The 23971-nt window shown below is 41.9% G+C and overlaps 1 long non-coding RNA gene across 3 annotated transcripts in view, besides 1 other annotated feature; it reads left to right on the forward strand.

Moving 5' to 3' along the window:
• MIR3681HG (MIR3681 host gene) overlaps nucleotides 1–23971 on the forward strand; it is a 571233-nt gene that overhangs the window by 44721 nt on the left and 502541 nt on the right. The gene's annotated exons all lie outside the window — the stretch shown is intronic.
• Nucleotides 19782–19901: an enhancer, noted in NCBI's record as "active region_15337". NCBI's record gives its function as "activates an Ori minimal core promoter by ATAC-STARR-seq in GM12878 lymphoblastoid cells {active_cell/tissue: GM12878}" and the evidence as "EXISTENCE:reporter gene assay evidence [ECO:0000049][PMID:35858748]".

The raw sequence follows: 23971 nt of genomic DNA on the forward strand, positions 1-23971 counted from the left end.
GGATACTGTGATATTTTTGGCCGGTGATTTCTAACATGTTGGCCAATTAATACTCCTTCAACCTGACATACTTTTTCTTGCCTTTAAATAGTCCATGTCCTACCACCTCCTCCACCAAGCTTTTCTTTTATGACTCAGACAGCCAACATTGCATAAAACTCATGCCCCTCCAAACTTCCATGCATCACTCTCCAAACATCACCATCTCCTATTACAGCTGTTTTCAGTCTTGGCTTATGGTCTTTACTGAAATTATGCTTCATGAGAACAGAGCTACTTCTGCTTCATCATTGCACCCAGAGGACCTGACGAGGGACCAAACATGGCAATTGTGTGGGGCAGAGGGAAGTGTGGGTTTGGAGTTAGAAGACTTGAGTTGTGATTCCAGTTTTATTGGTTGCTGTGTGATGTCAGGCAAGTCCTATACACTTTCTCAAACTATGTTTCTTCATCTATAAAATGGTTATAATAATCCTACTGGTTATAATTTTTTGTAAACTTCCTCAAATCCTATTCCAAAGGAGGTACAATAGAAATAAAATGAATGAAATGGTTCCTACTGTATCTTCATTATGACACTATTGGACACTATAGGAGATTATGGTTGTGGAAATATATTTGATAAGAAATGCAGTACACATGCTATTTAGGGTTATTAGGAACTCATTAAATATTTCCTGAATCAATGTGTAATGGAAATAAGATTTCTTTTACCTGCTGGGTGCGGTGGCTCACTCCTGTAATCCCAGCACTTTGGGAGGTCGAGGCAGGAGGATCACAAGGTCAAGAGGTCGAGACCATCCTGGCCAACATGGGGAAACCCTGTCTCTACTAAAAATACAAAAATTAGCTGGTTATGGTGGCATGTGCCTGTAATCTCAGCTACTTGGGAGGCTGAGGCAGGAGAATCACTTGAACCCAGAAGGTGGAGGTTGCAGTGAGCCGGGATTGTGCCACTGCACTTCAGCCTGGCGATACAGCGAGACTCTGTTTAAAAAAAAAATAAAATGGATCTTTTTTACCTTTTTATTTTATCAGCCTAAAAAGGAGGGTGATGGATTGACAACACACTTGGAGGGAGAGGAGAGTGACTCTTGGTAGAAGAAGACAGCTGTCAAGGGAAGGTAGCAGTGTCTGACACATGGTGTGTGTTGAGGAAGTATGTATTGAATATGCTGAATGAGTAAACAGCATAGTGATTGGGAAAGTATCCTGCAACACCAACCAATGTTGAGACAGAAAAGGCAGCCAATGCAAATCATTGATGAGGCACTGATGAGGGACTCCTTCCCGACTCTGACATTCCCTATCCTCCTGCATTATTTCTCTAGAGTATACTTTGCATCTACTTATGTGTTCATGTCTTTGTTTATTTATCTGATTAGTTAGTTTGATGTCCATCTCCCTTACTAGGTGATAAGCCCTAGGAGGGCAGTAATTTTTGTCTATTTTGTTCACTCCTGAGTCCACCAGGTGCTCCAAAAATACTTTTAGAATAAATGATTGACTGATTCTTTTGTATTCCTTAGGTAAGGAAGATTTTCAAGAACCTCTTGGGGAACTGTGCAGTTATAGTATATTTCAAATGTCCATCTGCTCATTAAGATGGAAGAATAAATAATCATTGAGAAAGAGACTTACAACCAGATAAAACCTTTTGTTGGAACAAACTTGTGAATTTAGGCTGATAATATTAAAAAGTCCAGAACATAAAACGTTTGGGGCTGTACATTAAACACTCTACACTAAAGTCATATGCAGGTTGACATAAGGTCACAGACAAGAGCAGGGATGTCTTGCAGGTTGTCTATGGAGAGATGGGGAGACCAAGAACCGAGGTGTGAGTCCTGATTCCATCCCTCACTAGTTATGTGCTCTTAGCCAATTTTTAAGTTTCTGAGCCTCAGTTTTCTTATCTGAAAAGGAAGTATAATATCTCCTTTATGGGATTGTGTTAGTCTGTTCTCATGCGGCTAATAAAGACATACCCAAGACCGGGTAATTGATAAAGAAAAGAGGTTTAATTGACTCACAGTTCCACATGGCTGGGGAAGCCTCACAATCATAGCAGAAGGCAAAGGAGGAGCAAAGTCATGTCTTACATGGTGGCAGGCAAGAGAAAGAACATGTGCAGGGTAACTCCCCGTTATAAAACCATCAGATCTCATGAGACTTGTTCACTATCACGAGAACAGCATGGGAAAGACCCACCCTCATGATTCAATTACCTCCCACTTGGTCCCTCCCATGACACACGGGAATTATGAGAGCTACAATTTGAGATTTGGGTGGGGACACAGCCAAACATTATCAAGGAATTTTCATAGTTAAGTAATATTATTTATATTTGTACCTATATGTATCACAGCACATCCTTAAAATATAATAAAGTTATTGTTGTTATTTTATAAAGCAAAGCTTTATAAACATATATCATTATAAAGTCAAATGATATATGTTGAGTCAAAAAACTTGGCTCATTTTCCCAGTTCTGCCACTAAATAGCTGTGTGGCTTGGATCATAATATTCAGAGCTAAGCTTTGTTGAACTCTTACTATGTGCCAGGTTCTGAACTCAGGGCTTTCATGCATTGTCTCATTCAATTGTCATAAATGCTCTGAGTTGGTGGTTATTTCCCTTCTGCAGATAAAGTAAATGAGGCTCAGGGAGAGTAAGAAAATTTCCAAGATCTGTCTACTAAGAGCTGGATGTTGGTCTGGTTCCCAACCTGGAGCTCATAAGCACAGCGCTCTACTCCCTCTAGTTCACCTCTCTTGGCTTCACTTTCTCTTTGTTTAACATGAAAGGAGATGGAATTAGCTTACCAGTAAGACTTTAAAAAAAACACTAGCTCTTCTGTGAACTAATAAGGTATAGACACCAATAACTGAGGCCGACAAAAATTTCTTTCCATCCATATTTTTTTTTTCCAGCACAACTCCAGGTGCAAAGTAGACGCTCAAACATTGCTAATTGAATTAAACTAAACAAATATGTAAAATCATGCAATCCTGCCACAGACACTTACCCATTACTAGCTAGATGTGTGCTTCTCAAATCTGAATTCACGGCCTCAAAATCCCAAGGAGTTATGGATTCCAGTGAGAAACAGTGACCCGGGCCATTCTGGGATGGTTGCCCTTTGAAAATCCCCTCTACAGGCATGCATTGAACACTACTCCATGCCAGGTCCTGGGCTGGGCTTCAGGGATACAGTGATGGGAAAGAGCAATCCCTGCAGCAAGAGCTCCCATGGCGTGTGCTTGACATGTAACTGACACAGTGCACTTGGGTGGGCCTAATGTAAAGGAAAAGAATGGGGCTTGGGGATTACAAGGGAGGGTCGTCTAAGTGAGAGTTGATAATGCAGAGGGTGAGAAAAAGCTTCTCAAAAGCCTAAACACAAACAACCAAGCCAAACCCCAGCATTGGTGAAATGCCAGTTGGAGTCAGGAAAAAGGAAGGAATTATAGGCTATTTTAAAGGGATAGCCCTGATAATTTTGAACCCACAGCTGCAGTGACTGTTCTTGCTTTAACAAGCAGATAAGTCATCTGAATTCAACAGGGACCAGAGTTTTTGAATTTTTTTCTTAATTTGTTTTATGGTTTTAGCTTCTTTTTCTTGAATTCTATTCACACTTTTCATTGGCTGAGCCACACATCCTTTCTTTGTAATTGTTGAAAGGATTCTTTTGGCCTTGAATATAATGATTATAAATTTATAGAACTCAAATTACTTGCATTTTCCCATATGAGAATGATTTCGCTCAGCCATTATCTCCTCTAAGAGGGCTTCCTCCAGCCCTTGCCCCCTGTGGTTAGTTGTGTTCCCTTCTGAATGTGTATTCACCATCACAGTTCTCATGAAGGATTGTAATTGTCTATCTCTCTGTGTTACCCACTACACTGAACTCAAGGAGTATTTGCTGAACCAAAGTAATCCACACTCCTAGGTGTACTAGTTTCCTAGGCACAAACTGGTCGGCTGAGAACAATCTAAGTCCATCTCTCATTTCTGGAGGCTGGACATCCAAAATCAAGGTGCCAGCAGTGCCATGCTCCCGCTGAGACTCTGGGGAGACTCCTCCCTTGCCTCCTTTTAGTTTTTGGTGGTTTGCTGCAATCTTTGGTGCTCCTTGGCATGCCAATGCATCACACATGGCCTTCTGTCTTCCAATGCATCACACATAGCCTTCTGTCTTCACGGGGCCGTCTTCTTCCTGTGTCTCTCCCCATCACTTTCCCTCTGCATGTCTGTGTCTGTGTCCATATTTCCCTTTTTCATGTAAGGACACCAGTCACTTGGATTAGGGCCCACCCTAATTGACTTTATCTTGGTTAAATCTGCAAAGACCCTGTTTCCGAATAACGTCAATTTCTAAGGTACTGGGGGGTTTGGACTTGAACGTATCTTATTTTGGGGGGATATCATTCAACCCATAACAGCAGGCTAGGGATGGATTATGGGATTAGCAAGAAGGTTAGAATTGCAGGGGACTGCAATGGACATGAGGTGGGGGCTTCTTGAGGTCCTCACCTGAGCAGGGAAGGGTCTGGGAAGAGAGACTTTAACTAGAGGCTGAGCCCCACCTTCTGAGGATGTGATGCAGAGGTTCTGCCTCAAATCCTGCCGGAGCATTGCTTTACAATTAATTCTGGAGCCCTGCCTGCAGCTCCAGTTTGTTAAATAGGACTCTGATACCCACTCAGAGGGTTAGAGTCTGTTCCTGCCTTCCATGGTCCATTCTGTACCTGAAAGTCTGAGGCAGCTGCTCTCTGACTTCAAGCATTCATACCAGATCACCTCTTGATAATGCTGGATCAGTTCAGATCAAGCCTGACTTCACACTGATGCTGTGGCCTCCCTATAGCAGTACATATAATAATATGGTTTCCTTAGGTTGAGAACCTAATAGATACATTTCCATTAGATACATCATTTTTGATCCTCACAACAGCCCCATGTGGGGGCTGAACTAGGGTGGGGTAGATACCATCTCCTTGGAATAGGAGAAAGAATGGCAGTCCAGTGAGTTTATATTGCCTTGTACCAGGGCACTGGCTAAGAAGTGGTGAGGCAGGAGCTTGGCCCCTGGTGTAGGTGACTCCACAGGCTTCGTGTTCCATCTGCCCTGGCCTGGGGGACAGCTCTAGGAAGGTTTTGATTCATATTCCTCTTGATACCTGAATAAATTATCCTTTTAAATGGCTACCCACCTCCCTTTAACTTTTGTCTTCTGGCTTCTCAGGCCAAAAGACAGGGGTGACCAGACTGAGACAGCTGGCTGAAGGAACACCGGTCTCTGCCGACACTGCCTATGTCTCTGGGTCTGAACTGTCTGCTGAGTGTGTGGGGGCTCTGAGATGTTCCTGTTCTCCACAGAGGGCCTCTGGCTTTCAAAGCTGTGGGGGATTTATCATGCTTCAAGGTAATTGGAAGATGGACCTTCCAGAACCCCCTCGAGTTAGTCCCTTCTACCTCCTATGAGACCCTCATCATAAATGGTGCCATGAAGGTCTCCTACTGCATGTGACCTCGAAATAAACCAAAGCAGTGGCTTGACAGGTGCATGTCCTTGCAGGCAGAATTCATTCAAGGGGGAGAGCCACAGAGGAGTCACTTTGGAGTCTCTGGGTTTGCAGTGGCCCCTCTGACTTCTTACCACCCACCCTGAGAGGCATGCAGGCTGGTGAAGCATGGACCACGCCAGCTGTTTCTGTCAGCTGAGCCACAGAAGGGAACCACAGGGCCCTGAGGGTGACTTGGCCAACCACAGGGGGCCGGCAGCAGGAGGGGCCGTGGGGACAGCAGGATTTGGGTTTCCGCTTTCTCACAGGCAGACTCAATTGATGGCCTTGGGGTCCTGCCGAGCAGGGGTGACTCAGCTTCCTTTGTGTGCATGGTCGCCTCGCTGAAGAGAGGGGGGCCCTTGACAACCCGGGGCTCCTTCTGCCTCTTCTCACTCCACTTCCTGCTCGAGAAAACCTCTGGTAATTTTTCCAGTCCCTGTTTACCTTAAAACTTGTCGGAAAAAACAAGTTCGCACTTCAGATTTCTACAGCATTTGACACTTTACAAAACGCTTTCTTACACACTGGTTCATCCAATGTTCACACCAACTCTGTGTGATTGTGAGGAGGCTATTGTCATCACAGATGAAACACACAAGGAAAGTGAGACCCAGCCAGGGTAGGAGATTTGTCCAAGGCCACAGGGCTTGTTGGTGGAGGGTTGACTCTGCTGGGAGCTTGAGTCCAGGATCCTAGGATACTCATCCAGGACCTTTGTACACTTTCTTGGGAATGCCTCAATATATTGCTCTTTCCCTGTGCTCATCACATGTTCTAAAAGCACTTTGTTGATTGAGTGACTGATCATAATCTTCATCCATGTCAGATGGATGCTTAGGGATTGAAAAGACATGAGCTTTAGAGACGCAATTCAGTTTCGAGCTATACTAAGACCCTTATTAGCTATGTGACGTTAGATACAGCACACATTCCCTGAGCTGCAGTTTCCTCTGAAGAAGGAGGCTAATAATGCTTAATTTCAAGGCAGTTCTGAGATTTATATGAAATGATACGTGTCAAAGGCCGGCTCAGTACTTGCTACACAGAAGGTGCATGCAATTCAAAGCTCTGTCATCATCCTCACCATCATACTTAGCTTCCAAAATTCAAGAGAGTTGAACTAAATCTCACAGATAGTTTCTTTATACATGGAACAATACCTTTACTTAGTAAGATTTAAAAATTTCTAGACATGAATGCACAAAATAAAGTCAAATATGGTCCTGGTTGATTTAGCCACTATAATTAAAAAAAAGAAGAAGAATAATACCGCATACGTGAATGTCCACATTCAGCTCTCCACATACTCTGTATGAAGGCTTTTCATCATTTCTGTAGACCTGTTTTGTATGGCTAACATTCCTTGCCTTCTTAACAGAGTAGAGCACACATCCACTGCTTTGGGGGATTCTCTGTGTTTCTTACTCTTCATTGGACCATTTGACTTTCTTTATCCCTTCCTCTTGCTTGCAAAGGGTTACAGGGACACTCATCAAGGTGGGGAAGGGACAGTAGGTCTGATTAATTCCAGACTCTAACATGATGCTCATATTTTGGGTAAATGCATAAGCAGTCAGGAAGATCCTTCTTTAAAAAAATACTCTTCCTTTCTTCCACCAACTGGATGTCTTCTGTGTGATAACAAATTATCTTTGAAGTTGAATATATGTCCAGGAAAGATTGAAACTATTGGTGTTGCTATCTTAAATTTCAAACTCCTTGCTGTTAGAAATTATGTTGTAATCATTATCATGTGCCTGTAGCCAGGTTCCCACTAGATTCTCAATGAATGGCTCTTGAACAAGCATGATTCATTCATTCATTCATATAACAAAAATATAGTATGAATGAACCACAGAAGTTCTGCAGATGCTTAAGATTGTATACTACTTTAAGGAGCTCCATTCTGGGGATGAATATCAATGCTTACGGAGGAGAGACTGGATGGAGACCAGGAGGTCAGGCAGGGAGGGGCACTGGCATGAATAAGGAGGCACTGGGTTCAAGGGGGAGACTGTGCATGTGCCAGGTGTATTCAGTGTGTCTTCGCTGGGTGCTGACCATGGGGTATGAGAGGTAGACCTGCCACCTCGAACAGCCCAGAGCAGAAAGCAAGAGGAGTAAGTCCACCTTGGAGGGGCTAGCAGAGTGCTGTGGGAGAGTGAGTGGGGCAGGTGACAAGGACAGTTCTGAGCATTCTAGACAAATTACTGGTTACTCAGGACAATTGCAATCCACACTCACATTTGGGAAACAGATGGACAAGATTAAAAACTGCAGAGAACCAGGGGATATGGAGAGCCTACCCACTAATAGGGACCTTGAATGCATTGCAGTCATTGCTGGGCTGAGTATGAAGGGTGGAAACACTTCTAGGGAGGGGATGTTTACTTTTGTGGTTTGGGAACTTGTCCCAGAGGCCCCTGCCCTGTCTCTTGGTGAAGAGGATTTAAATCATTAAAAATATTGTATGATTTTCTTCACAGAATTCCACTTTCATGAGGAGTGGGAGAATGTGTTTGAAGTCATACCCATTATTTATTATTTAGTGGTTTACTCTTCATTCATTTAATACAGTTCATTGAGCCTCTATCCTATGCTGGTCTTGAGCTGGGGGTTGGAGGTGAAAGATGGACTAAAGTCTGTCCCTGCACTTTAAGGATCTTTCAGTCTAGTGGAAGAGAGTGACTCATAAGTAATTATAAAGCACTGTGGAGAGTATAGAAGGGCAGATACATAAAGAAGGACAGAGAAGGGAGTGGTTAATTAGAATATTGGCTGTCAGGGAAGCTTTACAGAAGATGTACCGGGATATAAAGGATGAATAGGAATTTTCAGGTTGGGAAGGAGAAAGTAGCACTTTAGGTAGTGAAAGTGTCATGAATAATTGCACAAGGGCAGGCAAGTGCATGGCTTGGGAAAGAATGATTAGAGCAGTATAACTGGAGTGCTGTTGCCAGATAACATACAGGAGGCCCAGTGGGATTCGGATCTCAGATAGATGATGAATATGTTTGGCATGTCCCAAGTATTGCATGAAAAATGCTTACATTAAAGACATTATTTTCAGTTTATGCAAATGTAGATTTAAACCTGGTGTTCTGTATTTTTATTTGCTAAATCTGCCAACCATAGACTAGAACATAAAGCAGGTGAGACCACATCATATAGTTCTCCAAAAGTTCTTTAAAAGTGAGAGAGTTTCAACTTCAATCTTGTGGAGTGGCCTTAGGAGGTTTTTAAACAGAGAAGTGATATAGTCAAATTTCTGTTTTATAAATATTACTCTGGCTCCATGGAGGATGATTTAGAAAGGGGGGCCCTGGAGGCAAGATCATTAACTAAAAAGAGAGGAAAGGGATTCTGAATAAGAGCATCAACTGAGGGATTTTCAGGGCACAGGCTTGACATATTTTAGAGGTAGGACCCACGAGGACTTGCTGAGCAGGAGAGCATGAGGGGTGATGTTTGTGCTGCCAATCCTTTCTAATTATGGCTATAATATATTTGTCCTTGAAAGCTTATGACCTTCTGAACGTTCACTGCCAATAAAGATGTTGGAGAGAGAGTCCTCTGGAGACCAGGAATTCTTTGCCATTAAGCACATAGCTCAGCTCTCCATTTCTTTAAAACACATACTCTGGCTAAACTCTGAGCTAGATAATCACATCTTGATTAAGTGGCTGCGTCCATGCTGGGTACAGGTGGAAACACTTAGTGCTATAATGTTAGACGGGTCTATAAAAAAGAATGCCTTCCATACGTTCTTGGGAGAGATTTATTTTTCAAAAGAAAGTGTATATTTTGGAAGGGAAGAGGCGTTGTTTATTTCTGGGATTAAATACATCTCCAGGGTCATAGAATATATTTGGGTTCTTTAGATATGTTGCAAAGAATTCACAGAATCCTGGTAGAGAGACCCCTTGGTTACTCTCATCCTGTTCCAGTGAGGGAAGCTCAGCCCAGAGAATAGTTGTGACCTGCTCCAGGTGGCCGAACTTGGATTAGAGTAGTGGATTCATGATGCCCAGTTAAAGTGCAATGTGAATTGCACAATTCTTAGGCTTTGTCTAAACATTTAGAGTCTGGAAACACAGTGCCATTCTTTTTCTCTGTAACTACCAAGTTACAAAGAATTTCTGTAACTACCAAGTTACAAGGAATTTATCCTTGAGATGTTTCCATTTGAACTGAAGTATTGATACAAGTTGCTTTTAAAAAAGGGATTTCATGAAATTGTGTTATTTGGAAAGCACTACATCTTTATTCCCCTTGACAGTCCTCTTGCAATACATTGACACAGCCTAACTTCTGAAGGTTTTCAAAGTTTTTAGAGCATGGAACAAGAAATGTTTATATAAATAGGAAATAATGGCTATTTGTTGAATGCATTTTCAGTTGTGGGATTTAGACATTTTGGCTAAGGCGAGCTTTCCTTTTAATAGATCAACTTTCAGGGCCAAGTTGTGTTTAAAAGAATAAAGTGAAAAGTATTGTATTTACATTTCAAGAACAAAATGTCTCTCCTTCTTAGAAGTTTTAGGAATACTGCCTGGGGCCACCGCCTGCCTTTGCTGCATTAATTCCAGGGAGAGCAGACCACAGTGACTCCTTCCCTCATTAGGGTTTAAGAGATTTGTTTCCTATAAAAGACTCAGCAAAATCCCTCCCTCCTCTCCTAAACAATGAAATACTACAACCAAACAGCTCCTGAGCTTTGTGTTATCCACTCCACATTCAATCCTCATGGCCAGTTTGATTTTGTTTTTAATATTCTGATTCACTGGGTATCTTTTACATCTTATGCACAGCACCTCCCAGCCCTTTCCAGAAGGAAAGGGTGAAAGAAGAGAGGGGTCAGGTTTCTAGAGGGAGGTGGTCATGGGGCCAATTTTTCACTGGCATCACTTCAAAACCACCCATGTTTTCCTGACATTGCCCTAGTCCCTTCAAAGAGATTTAACGCATCACTCGTCCCTGCTAATGAAGATGGAAAGTATTGTAAACAATAAATGCTAGTCACCAAGTGAGGTCTTGAGACAATAAGGACCCTCAGATGACTCTTAGGGATGGTACAGAACACACTCTAAATAAACCCATCCACGGCATATTAGGCCTTTGCCAGCATCATCCCACACACCTGCCTCTGCCAGGTTCCCCTGTTATAACCCACCCATTTATTCAGCAGTCTTTCCTGAGTACTTGCCATGTACCAAGCAGTGTTCTAGGCACTGGAGATATAGAAATGAATGAGACATTCAAGCAGTAGCCAAATATTTCTCACCCAGGGATCTACGGATACCCAGGGACCCCAAATTCTTAGCTATGAATTCTATGAGAATTTAAAAAATTCTTCTTTTCTTTTGACGGTGATCTAAAAAATTTACATAAAATATGGTCTGGATCGATTGGATGGTTATCGTTACACAGTCCTGCTGCAAGACCTTGATGTCTGGGTTGACCTCTGTGTTCTGGGTCCTATCAGAGCCAATGATTGATAACCTGACTGTTAATCTCCAGTGCACTGTCCATCAGGTTGGGGGTTAGTGGACATATTCTTGAGCTCTGCCGATGTTCCCTTTCTTTGAACAAGTTGCCTATGTCCTCAAATTTAAGAAGCCCTGGTATAGTATTGGCACAGAAGGATTTGTAGTCTCTTGTAGCCACCACATTGTTCCCAAACTGTGGTCATACTGGTCTTGAGGGAGTCAGAAAAATGGTCTCCCAAGGATGCCTGTAACCTAATACCTGGAATCTATGTCACATGACATATTTGCAGGTGGAAATAAGGAGATTAGCCTGGATTATCTGGATGGGCTCAACATAATTATATAAACCCTTAAGAATAGATGAGGGGTATATACCCCAAAGAGTTAGAAACAGATACTCCAATACACGTTCATACCTGCACTAATCACAATAGCCAAAAGGTGAGAACAACCCAAATGTCCATTGACAGATGATTTCATAAATGAAATGCAGTCTACACAAGCAATGGAAAATGATTCAGCCACAAAAAGGTCTGAAGTACTGATACGCACCATGGCCCGGATGAACCTCTCAAACAATACGCTAAGTGAAAGAAACCAGACATAGAAGACCACACATTGTGTAATCCCATTGATATGAAATCTGTAGAACAGGTAAATCCATAGAATCAGAAAGTAGATTGGTGGCTGCTACGGGCTTGGGAGAGGAGGGAATGGTGGTTTTATTGCTTAATGGGTCAGGGGTTTTACTTAGAAGTGATGAAAATGTGATTTGCACAACATCGTGGATGTAGTAAATGTCCCTGAATTGTTCACTTTACAGTGGTTAATTTTATGTTATGTGAATTTCACTTCAATAGAAAAAGAAAGAATGGAAGAGATACAAAGAGGTGTCGGTCAGGGAGATGCAGCAATAGAAGCAGCGGCAGGACACATCCCAAGTGTGAGAGGGACTCACCCCTTTGCTGCTGACTCTGAAGATAGACAAAGGGTCCAAGCCAAGGAATGCAGGTGGCCTCTAGAAACTGGGAAAGGGTCTCAGCTGACAACCGTTAATCAAATGAGGACCTTAGCCCAGAACCAGAGGGAACTGAATTTTACCAACAACCTGAATGAGAGAGAAAACACATTCAAACAGGATGGAATGCAGTCCTCAGACACCTTGCTGTTAGCCCAGTGAGACCTGTACCAGACCTCTGACAAAAGAGTAAGACGATCATACATTTGTGCTGTTGTAAGTCACTAAATCAGCTATCTTTTTTTACAGCAGTGATAGAAAATAAATAAGGACTCCTACCTAGAGTTTTCTTTTCTCTCCCGTTCATCAGGCAAGCCCATTCTCTGCATGCTCTGACCAGGCACCTGCGCTCTGAGGGCTTCAGTGGAGTGGCCAGGCTTGGCTGGGGACCCGCCCTCTGTGCTCCCGAAGCCCTGGTGTTTATTTCTGTAACTACACCTAACACATGGTATGCAGCCTGTTGACTTACTTGCTGTTCTCCCTACATTGCACTGGGAGTTCCTGAGGTTATCACCTCCTCGCTATTACTGTCAACACCCTGTCCACATCCTTTGGTCTTAGTCCAGATGACTTTCTGTCATTGGCAAGCTAGTTGAGGTATAGTTAACAACTCCCCATCTCCCCTCAGCAGTTCTTAGCTGAGGCATGATGGAAGTGGGTGTATAAATACCCCAGCTCTTCATTCCTCAAGTGGGATAGCTCAGAGGCCTGTGTTCTATATCACTTTTCCCAAGCTTCCCTGCTTTATTAAGCATCATTCACTCACCGTATTACCAGGCTTAGTAACACTTCCAGGGCTGGCTACATAATTTGTGAAAATGTAGGGCCACTTTTTAAAAAATCAAGGGAAAAGTGCTATTAAGAATATTAAAATAAAAATTTTTCCCTTTTTCCCATGGCCTCTCCCTCAATTTTTCATGGTATTTAAAAAAATTGTTGTTTAATGTTGTTCTAAGTGAGGAAAATGAAAACTTTAAATTATTAGCAATGTGTTTTATCTTCCATCTTTATAGTGTGCAATGCCAGTTTTAAGTGCAAATATGAGAGCATTTAACTAGCATGTGGAATTACCAAAATTATACAACTTTTATTCTACAGCCCATATACTAAAGTTCAAGGATGAAATCATTGAGAATTTCAAGCAGAGACCCCACAGCATTAAATCAAGCAGGAGGCCTTCTGCACACGGGCACTGTGGAATTGTGCAGGTTGCATGCCATGAAGCTAGGCCCGGACAGGCCCTTTGCTGACTGCCTTCCCACCCCCATATCATTTCTTCATCTCCTTGACAGTGTTCCTTTAAAATTAACTACCTGCATGTGACTCCTGCTCTCAGGGTCTGCTTTTTCCGGGGGAATCCACAGTATATCCCATCACTGTATTCACAGTATTGGCACAGGAAGATGGTAAGCAAAGGCTTCTAGATTTGAGCCTGGTGCTTTTGAAGAGACTATGGTAGCTACAGCTTGGGGTGATTGTCGAAGCCTCCCTGGAGAAGGCAGGGAGGAGATGTGTAGATAGGCGATTAGTTGGAGGAGAGTGGAGGGAAGTCTACGTATTGTGACTGAGTGCTATGAGCGAATCTGTAGGTAGGGACGTGGTAATGGCCCTCGAAGGTGCTCCAAGATAGCTTTCAAAGGCTGTCATGCACGTAATCACATGTGAAGCTCAGCAAACCAATGAGGTAGAAAGATAGATGGAATTATAGTCATTTTGCAGATGAAGGAACTCAACTTCAGATGTCTTAAATGCAAGGGAATACTGAAGCCTGCATGAGAAGCCAGTTCTTTTGATTCCAGAGCCGTTGACTTCTCACCACATCATATCCCTTCAGAACATCCAAAGATCAGAGAGCAGTGGGGCTTTAGGTCAGAAGAGCACGTTGGGGCCCCATGCTCATGCACATGCACAGCAAGAGTGGGTATTGCCTCCCTTGTTCTATATAAAAGATGACCCAAGGTCCTGGATTTAATATCCATTAAGACTCCTTTCTTCAAGAGAAGAAAAAACTGACTCTGGTCATTTTGGGTTAAAAGCATCTTTGCTGGTGCGGTGACTGGATGAATGTGGGAGGCCTCTGCCTTTATTTCTATCTCTGATTTTGCAAGGTGGGGGCCTGCTAGAAAATTATCTCAAGGTTGGAGGTAAGGAAGGTGAATTTAAGACACAGAAACAGGGTCGTAGGGTCATGGCTGTCAGCGATCCAGGGTATCCAAGTGTCTGGCCCATGGGCAGGGTCCCTGGAGGCATGGTGTTACATGGCCTGAAAATTTCATCTTGGAAACCTCTAAGCTTTCCTTACAACACCAATAAGAGAGGAATCAAATATGTTGTAAGCTACTTTGTTCTAAAACTTCTTCTCTTCATATTTTCTTAACTTCTGTAAAAATAAAATAACTGACATGACAGCCATTTGTGAAAATATAAGTCAACAAAATGGAATTTGTAAACTTGAAGTGGAGCAAATGTTTGGATTATCTTGTTTCAATTAAGAAGCTGTGCCTTTTGCCTTTCAAGAATAAGGGGACTCTGTTCTGTTCTGTATTTAGATGTATTATGCCCCAAGATTACCTTTAAAAGAGGCAGAAAATGGAAGGAAAGGGGATGGTAAGGAAGGAAAGGGCTGGGAGGAGAGGAGCAGTGCAGCTGAACAGCACACTTCCGAGTCATGGAGGCCTGAATTTGAATCCTGGTTCTGTATTCAGCAGCTGTGTGATAGTGGCTTTTACTTGACTTCCATGAGCTTCAGTTTCCTCCTCACTAGGATAAATATAATTATACCTACAAATTTGTTTTTGGGAATGATTAATGAATAATGTACATAATTTTTCCTGGTGCAGAAGGGACTGTTGGTAAAAAGTTATTAAATTAATGAATAAAAACTATTGAAATTATTATTTTTGATTTGCTGTGGACCACTCCTCAATTTTCAATGTACCTCTAAGAATCTATGGTTCCCTAAGATAGTTAGTGTCATTGTATGGTGGCCTCCAGGACCTAATTTTTCCAGCAGTTGACTTCATCTTCCTTGATTACGCTGGCCCTTATCACGGGAGTTGAGAGGGATCCCTCTTTCTTGCCTCCCTTTCTTCCCTCATTTATTCAAAAAAATGTACACTAGAATTTGACCATATTCCAGGCACTGAGTTAGGAGTAAAGGTAATGAGATAAGGAAGACTGAGTCTTGGCCATCTGAGAAGGTCACAGTCTTGTGGGACAGATGCAAAGGTGGGAGCCACAAATTCTGTTTGGGGGTGGGGAAGTGAGAGAGGAAGTGTGAGATGAAAGGTTTCCAGAAGAGAGGGTGCTTTCCTTGAAGACTTGAAGGACTTATATAGAGAGTCATGGTAGCACTCCAGGAAGAGGGAGCATGGCCCCAAATGTGACCGGGGACCTGCCTGATTTCACCACTGTGTATTCCAGGCCCTCTATCAATGACTTGCTGGATAAATGGATGCTGGGAATAACATTCCTGCAGGACGCCAAAACAGCACCGACAGACAGGCTGTTTTGAGCCTGTCTTATTGCTCATCACTCCCCAGTTGCATAGACAGAGGGTCTCCATCAGTGTCTCCTCCTGGGGCCTCTTGTCCTGGCCGTGAGCTGAGTGGTGGTGTTTGGGACAAGGCAGCTCTCTGTTCACCTCCTGCCAGCAGGTCTCGTCTGCAGCAGACTTTGGTTTACGTCCTTGTTATTTCAGTATGGAATCTTGGCTGCCCATCAACTCAGCAGACTGGCTGGGCCCCCCAGGCCTGTTTGGATAGAAAACTGGAAGTTGTCTTCCTTGAATGGTAGGATGTGAAGGATCTGAAGCTTCTTTCATAGCCAGATTCAGGGCCAGTTCATAGGCCTGTGGCCCACTGATCTCTGAGCAGAGGGAAGGGGCCCATAGTAGGATTCCAAGTCCAAGTTGGGTTCTTCGGAACTAAATGCACACACCATTACCAGCTCAACGTTACTCTGTGAATTCACAATTTAAAATTTCTGCACTCCAGTCCCTCACCGGCAGCACCTTAGTGCCATGGTGTAAAAAACGCACTATTTCTCAGCCCGGAGAAATCTGGGTTTGAGTTCCAGTTTTGTTGCTTAGTATTAGTGCCGAGGACTTGTATAGATCTCTTAAAATCTCTGTGCTTCAGTGACCATATTGCCAACACAAGGTAGGTGGGTATATTACATGGACAGTGGGACAGTGTGTTACATGCCTTTTTCTGTGTGACATATTGTCCATACTTCATGAGCAAAGGGAGTGTGTATAACAGTCGTCTAACGTCTTTCTGAACCTCAGCTTAATAACAGCAGAAAGTTTAATGATCCACTTTTTAATTTAAAGTTAGCTTCCTTTTTTTTTTTTTTTTTTTTTTTTTGAGACAGAGTCTCGCTCAGTCGCCCAGGCTGGAGTGCAGTGGCGCGATCTCGGCTCACTGCAAGCCCCGCCTCCCGGGTTCACACCATTCTCCTGCCTCAGCCTCCCGAATAGCTGGGACTACAGGCGCCCGCCACCACGCCCGGCTAATTTTTTTGTATTTTTCGTAGAGACGGGGTTTCACCGTGTTAGCCAGGATGATCTCGATCTCCTGACCTCGTGATCCGCCCGCCTCGGCCTCCCAAAGTGCTGGGATTACAGGCGTGAGCCACTGAGCCTGGTCTAAAGTTAGCTTTCTTGAAGCATAATTTATATACAGTAAATTTCTGCCTTTTTAGGCTTAGAGTTATGTGAGTTTTGAAAAAAACTGCATAGAACTTGTAACTACCATCGTAGTCAAGATACAGAACATTGCCATCAGCTAATGCATGCAGGGCTTGATACCTAGGTGATGGATTGATAGGTGCAGCACACCACCATGGCACAGGTTTCCCTGTGGAATAAAACTGTACATCCTGCACATATATCCCCGAACTTAAAAAAAAAAGAAATAAAGGCTGAAGGGAAGGGGGAAAAAAAATAACATCTCCATCATCCCTAACGTTTTCTGCTGCGTTGTGGTTCATACCTTTCCCCCACCCACAGCCCCTGGCAACCAGCAATCTGTTTTTGCCTTTTCTGGAATGTCATTCACATGAAATTACACAATGAGTAGTGGCTTGAGTCTGGCTTCTTTCACATAGTGTAATGCACTTGAGATTCACCCATGTCATTATATTTAGCAGAAGTTTCTTTTTATTATTCCATCGTGGTGGATGCATACTAGTTTGTTTCTCCATTCACCAGCTGATGGGCAGTTGAGTTGTTCCAAGTTCTGGGGACCATGAATAAAGTTGCTATAAATATTTGCAAACAGGTTTTTGTGTGGATATATGTTTTTTTTCTCTTCAACAAATACCTACTCGTGTGATTGCTGGGTCTTACAGTAAGTCTATGCCAAAGTTTATAAGAAACAGATTAACTATTTTGCAAAATGGCTATACCATTTTGCTGACTTGCCTTTTTAAAAAAGTAAACTTTATTTTGAGAAACTTGTAGAGCAACTTGCAGTGCAGTTGCAAAGCATACTACAGAGAAGTACTGTGATCCGATGTACCCTTTACTCAGTTTCCCTCTATGATAACATCCCACAAAACTATAGAGCAATATCACAATCAGGATTGACATTGCTACAGTCAAGATACAAATATTTCCACCACCAAAGAATCTTTTATCTGGCCCTTTACATCCTTCCCACCCCAGCCTCTCTGACAATCAGTAATCAGTTACTCATTTCTATCATTTTCTATAACTTCTATTGTATCTATCGAGATTGTGATATAAATAGAATCATACAGCATGTAACCTTTTGGGGCTGGCTTTTTTCACTCAGCAGAATTCCCTGGAGATCCATTCAAGGTGTTGCACATATCAACAGTTGGTTCCTTTGTGTTGCTAAGTGGTATTCCATGGTGCGTGTGTGCCACAGTGTGTTTAGCCCATTCACCAGGTGAAGGAGACCTGGGTTGTTTCCAGGTTTGGATTATTACAAAGAGAGTTGTTATAAACATTTGTGCACAGGCTTTTATGCAAACATGTTTTCATTTTCTGGGATAAATATTTGAGACGCAGTTGATAGGTTGCACGGTAGATGCACATTTGTTTTTGTAAGAAATAGCAAACTGTTTTCCAGCCTGGTTGCAATATTTTACATTCCCACCAGCAATGCATGAATAATCCAGTTTCTCCACATCCACACCAGCTTTCTATTTCTTCAGTTTTTCATGGGTATTTACTTGCCCCAAAGGGATCAGAAACATGCCCTTGAATTTTGTCATTTCTACAATTTAAAACTATTATTTCTGTTATGTTCTTCATTGTGTAACTCAGTGTCTCTTAGGTAAAGTATTGTCAAAAGCAGGACCAGACAAGGATAAACGTTTGTATTCCCTGTAAACTGGTGTGTTTGATTTGACACTCAGAGCTCTACAAGGCACTCTGTTTCCGTTTTCTCCTGGGGGCTGTATTAACCAAGTATTGTATTAACTGTCAGTGCTTCCTGTTAGCCTCCTTTCATGGCTTGCTCATGTCCTTTTTATTATTATGCTTGCTATAAAGAATTCATTTGCCCAAGTCTTTTGAGCACTTCTCCATGCTCCTACAGTTACTGAGTCTATCATGATGTTTGTAAATCTGAACTATAATCATGCTCCTGTATCTGTCTCACCCACTATATGAGGAACTCCTTCAGAGAGAAGTCCCTCTCTCACTGCCCTATTCCCACCCCCAAGATGTCTTCTAAATACTTTTTATTCATTTCCTGGATATTTAAGAATCACTTGTACAGATTTTATATGGGTTTTGCCTCAAGAAAGTCATGGTTTAGATTAGAGGGACCGCACAACTATGAATCTGAATAACTATGAAACCATGCAAGATGTGATGAGTAATTTAAAAGAATTAAGATGCTTGAGGAGCCCAGAGATGGGAGAGATTGTATCTATAGTGGAGATACGAAAGGCTTATTTTAATGTTTTATGACTTTTTAAAAAGCAGTGTCTTCAGCCGCAACTGTTTAAATCCTTTCAGGGATTAGAAAGAGTTATATATAAACTGCAGTTACCCACAGGGAAGGTGCCACGGGAAAAAAGTCTGTGGGTTATGGGGAAGGCTGGTGATGGGGCTGTGCCTGTTGGTAATGGTGGAGCTTGGGAGAGACCCAGGAGTGAAGACAGCTGTAGAAAGGAGAAGTTTTGCCTCTCTCAAGAAAAACCAACTAGAGTTGAATACTAAGAGAATTATGATTTTGAGATAAATGAAGGTGCATCTTATCCATCTGAAGCCACTCTAATGAGCCCAGTATTTTTAGAGATTCTGAAAGTTGGAATATAAAGAGGATTAATGGCCCTGAGACATCACAATGCGACTGTGGAGAACCGAGTGTTCCTCTGGGGTCCTGAGACACGTGGGGAACTGGACTGATGGGGTCTGCCTGATTGCAAAGTCTCTTCTCTTTCTTATGTTCCATGGATCTCTCAAGATCAATGAAGACAATACACTGATGACCTCTAAGAAGCCCTGGGGACCTCAAACCATACTCAACTAGTGTCCAATACCTTATCCAGTTATTGGCATCATCATTATTATTATTTACAGCCCAACCTCTAAACCAAAAAAAAAAAAAAAAAAAAAGCAGAAGTGAAAGAAAGGGCTTCTTGAGGGCTAGGGAGGCCCAGAACTCTGGTGGAAAAAAACAAAAAAGAGCATCACCACAATGCTGATGATCCACCATGGCTGCTTTCTTGTGGAATCTTTTGGGCCAGTGACTTCTAAAAAGATTGCCACTTGTTGACCAGGCTGGGTTTGACAATGGGGGCATTTGTGAACATATTGTTCATTGTTCATTGAATTATGAACAATGAGAGAAGTTCCTCTCCAAACTCATCTTAAAGACTAGTTGAGCCTCAACTGAATATTTCTTTTATCTTTTGTATTCTGTAATCATATTTTCTTCTTTGCATTGACTGATAGAAATTCTAAGGTGAATTTGTGGCCCTAATATTATAAAGGAAAATAATTACTAAGCTTGGTTTATTGCTGACTGATGTCCAAAGTTTGATCTCCACTTTTGGAGAAAATGGGTTCTATGGTAATCATAATTATAGCCATGGCAATACCTAATATTAACCAAGAGCCTACAGACTTTTGAGGTCTTTGCTAAGCTTTTTACAAATTTTAATTAATTTTCATTATAAGGCATTGTGTCATATGCCATTATTATCACAATTTATAAGTATGGAAGTAGAGACACAGTTAAATAACTTGCCCAAAGCTCCACAGCTATTAAGAGACAGAGCCGGGATTTGAACCCATGAAGACTGGTCTGTCTTGAAGAAACTTGTATTATCATCTAAACATTATTATAATAAAATCCAAAAAAAGTACAAAAATATAACACGGATTTAGATTCAGTTATCCCAAATTTGTCAAATGCCCATGTGATCTTATACAAATTCCTCTACATCATTTGAAAACAGAGCTGATGGCATCTGTCTCCTTGGTTGATTGGAGGATTAAATAACGTAATGTGGGTTAAGTAGGTAACAGTTCCTACCAGTTGGTGCTAATCAAGTGATAGCAAAGAGTGTTCTGGACAAAGAGAAGACATGGGTCTAGTCCCAACTCCAGTTTCCTATAAATAAAATAGGGATGGTAATCTTTTCACAAGCTCAAATAGGATCAGAGACATGAAAACACTTTGTAAAGGACAAATGGCTGAACATTGTCAAGGGCTGTTGATCTTAGGAGACGCTGGACCTGCAGACCTCCAAAAGGCCTCACAGGCAGGTGGCAGGGGACAAGTACATCTATTGATTGTCTTTAGTGTTTTTGAATACTGAGTATGAGTTGTTGTGGACAAAGCAAAACGGTTCACATGGTTGTCGGACAGCACCTTGGCCAGGATTCTGTGCAGGTCTTGCTTGGATAAGAGGGTTTCTTTTGCCTTGAAGTGTCTTGTAGGAACCGCAAACTCAACATATCCAAACATGAACCCATTTTCTTTCATCTCAAATCTGATGCTTCCTGGAGTTTCCATTCAAATAAAGCTACCACCATCTACAGTGCTGCCCAGACAGAAGTCTAGAGTCCTCTTCTGTGTCTGCCTTCTGCTTACCTCCATCCCCAAGCAGAAGCATTCTCAGTGACTGGGTCTGCTGAAATGACCTTGGTGCTTTTTCTCTGACAGGTTCCTATTTCCCCATCTCCACTGCCAACACATGCCAGACACAGGAACTGGCTTCTAAAGCTTCATCTCTAGTCCTAAAAAAGGGATTTTTGTGGCGATGATCATCATGTCCAACATTTATTGAACCTGTGTTGCGCCAGCACTTTCATATGTATATATATGTACACACAAATATATGTGTATTTCACTTATTTTATTTCACTTATGAAACACTTACATAGTATTTACTCTATGCCGAATACCACTTTAAGGACATGATACATATTCATCCATTTAATTCACACAACCACCCAATGAGGTAAATGATATTATTATCCCCATTTTACAGATAACGAAACTGAGGCAGAGAAGTTAAGCAATTTATTCAAGGTTACACAAATAGAAACTGGCAGAGCTTGAATTTGAACCTAAGAAGTCTGGCTCCAGAGTCAGTGCCCAAGTACACAGGAGCTTGAGGAATAGTCATAATAATAGCTAATGTTCTAAGTCAGCCATCTTAGCTGGCTTTATAGAAAACGCAACAACTCTGAGATGTAAGCGTTATTACCCACATTTTACAGAGAAGGAAGCAGGTTTAAGCGTCTTACAGAGAGAGCCCAAGGTCACACATCCAGTAAGTGAAAGCAGAGGTGAGCTTCAGCTGGCAGTGTGAGGTTGAAAATGCTGGCATCTGCCATGCCTGCAAAGTGCTGCTCTGTTTCAAGTTTACGAGATTTGATCTTGGTATATTTTAATCTGGAAATAAAAAAGCAAAACCTTATAGAATTCTAGAATGTCAAAGATGAGAGGGACCTATGGGAGCCTCTTGTTGAGAACCTTCTTATACAGATGAAATATTCTAGATCCATGGAATTTAAGAGACTGCCCTGAAGTTTCATATTCAGGAAATATTAGAGTCAGTTCTTACCCCTGTGTCTTCCAAAGTCAAACTCAGGAGATATGATGGGGTTTTCTCGCTTTTCCTGGCAAAATCCAAAAACATAAAAGCATAAAAAGATACATACAATAGCAGCAATCAGCAATCATTCTCTTCTCTCTCTCTCTCTCTCTCTCCATTTGTAGGTCAAAAATTCCTATAATCAGCTACAAATTATCACATCACCTCTGCATTCTTATCAGCTTTTGCAGCTGGGAGATAAAGACACACAGTATCTTTGACTCAAGCAGGCAGTTGCAGTGATGAATCTGTCCTTTCTAAATAGGCTGAAACCACAAGGTGGGCCCTCATGTTATAGCCAGTGATGGGAAGGCACCAGACCAGCGGGGAAAATGTCCGTGTCATGGAGATGACGTGATGGTGCATGCGAGGCACGGCCCCACTTCTGCCTCTGTGGCTTACCCAGGCCTCCCCCTCTGACCTACTTCTCTGGCCACCAAAAGGTGAGAGATGTTACACAGAGATGTTATAAAGCCAGACCTGATAGCATCAAGTCTGTTCCCATGAGATAAGTATTCCTAAGCCTGCCCCAGTCAGTCACTGCTTAGGAGGCCAAGGTGCTGCTTTAGTTAATTGAAACAACAGCCTACTATTAGCTGAGGAATGCCTGTCCCCTGCACATTTCAGGGCTTCTTGGTCTGGGTTGAAAGGCTGACATTCATGGTAATGAATAGGACACTTTTAGTCACTAGTCTATATCCCACAGGCATTCTGCCCAGGCATAATTGAGGAGGACAAGAAGAATGATAATAAGGGGACCCAAGACTTTATTCTTACAAACGAAGAATGCGGCTGATGGTTATAGAGAAAACAATTTGACTTGTGTTTTTATTAATCCTCTGCCCGTGCATCTGGGATGAGGATGTAGATGCTAAAATTCAAGCCAGACTGGCATCCTTTGGTAACTGCTGGATTCCATCTTCAGGAAGAACAGAGCACCCGTTTCTTTGTTTATTTTCCAGAGTGAAAAACTAATTCATGTAAATGAATCATTGAAGTAGGCCTTTTAGATGACTTTGCATTTTCATGATTCCTATTTTTCTGGAAATCCAAGAGCAAGTTTCTCAAGTTGTTAATAATCTAGAATATTTCACATGTATTTCCTGTTGGTTCCATACTGATTATAATACTCAATGGTTCTTATTTTGTCTTGCTTCCCAGTCTTTGAAACTTGATTTTCTTTCTTACCTGATCAATTTTTACCAGTCTTTCAAGATGCACCCTGAATTGTTTTTTAAACCTCCCAGTTTCAAGATTATTTTTGAAATGGGAAAATTAGTTTTCTCATGGGAGTGGGCAAAGTTTCCATTTTTTTGGTGAAATAAGAAGCATAAATGTGTTTCACACAGACTAAGCACATGAAGAACGATCACCTTATGTAGAGCTTGATAAAATTTTATATACATCTGTGTAATCACCATACAGATTAAGACAGAGAATATTTTCAGGACCCATGAAGGTTCTTTTCTGCGCCTTCGTCATCAATACTCCACCTCAGAATAATCACATTTTGACTTCAATCACTGTCAATTAGATTTTCTTACTCTTGAACTGCATATAGATGTGGTATGCACTTTTTATTTTGGTTTATTTTGCACATACTATGTTTTAAAGATTCATCCAAATTATGTGTGTATCAATGTTTTTTTTTTTTAATTTGTATATAAGTAGTCCATTATTTGACTATACCACAATTTATGTATTCATTCTTCTGTTGATGGTCAGTGGGGTTGTTTTCAGCTTTTGGCAATTATGAATAAGCCTGCTGTAAATAATCTTGTTTATTTCTTTTTGTGGGAAA

The sequence above is a fragment of the Homo sapiens genome, chromosome 2, assembly GCF_000001405.40.
Source record: "Homo sapiens chromosome 2, GRCh38.p14 Primary Assembly".
Classification (NCBI taxonomy): domain Eukaryota; kingdom Metazoa; phylum Chordata; class Mammalia; order Primates; family Hominidae; genus Homo; species Homo sapiens.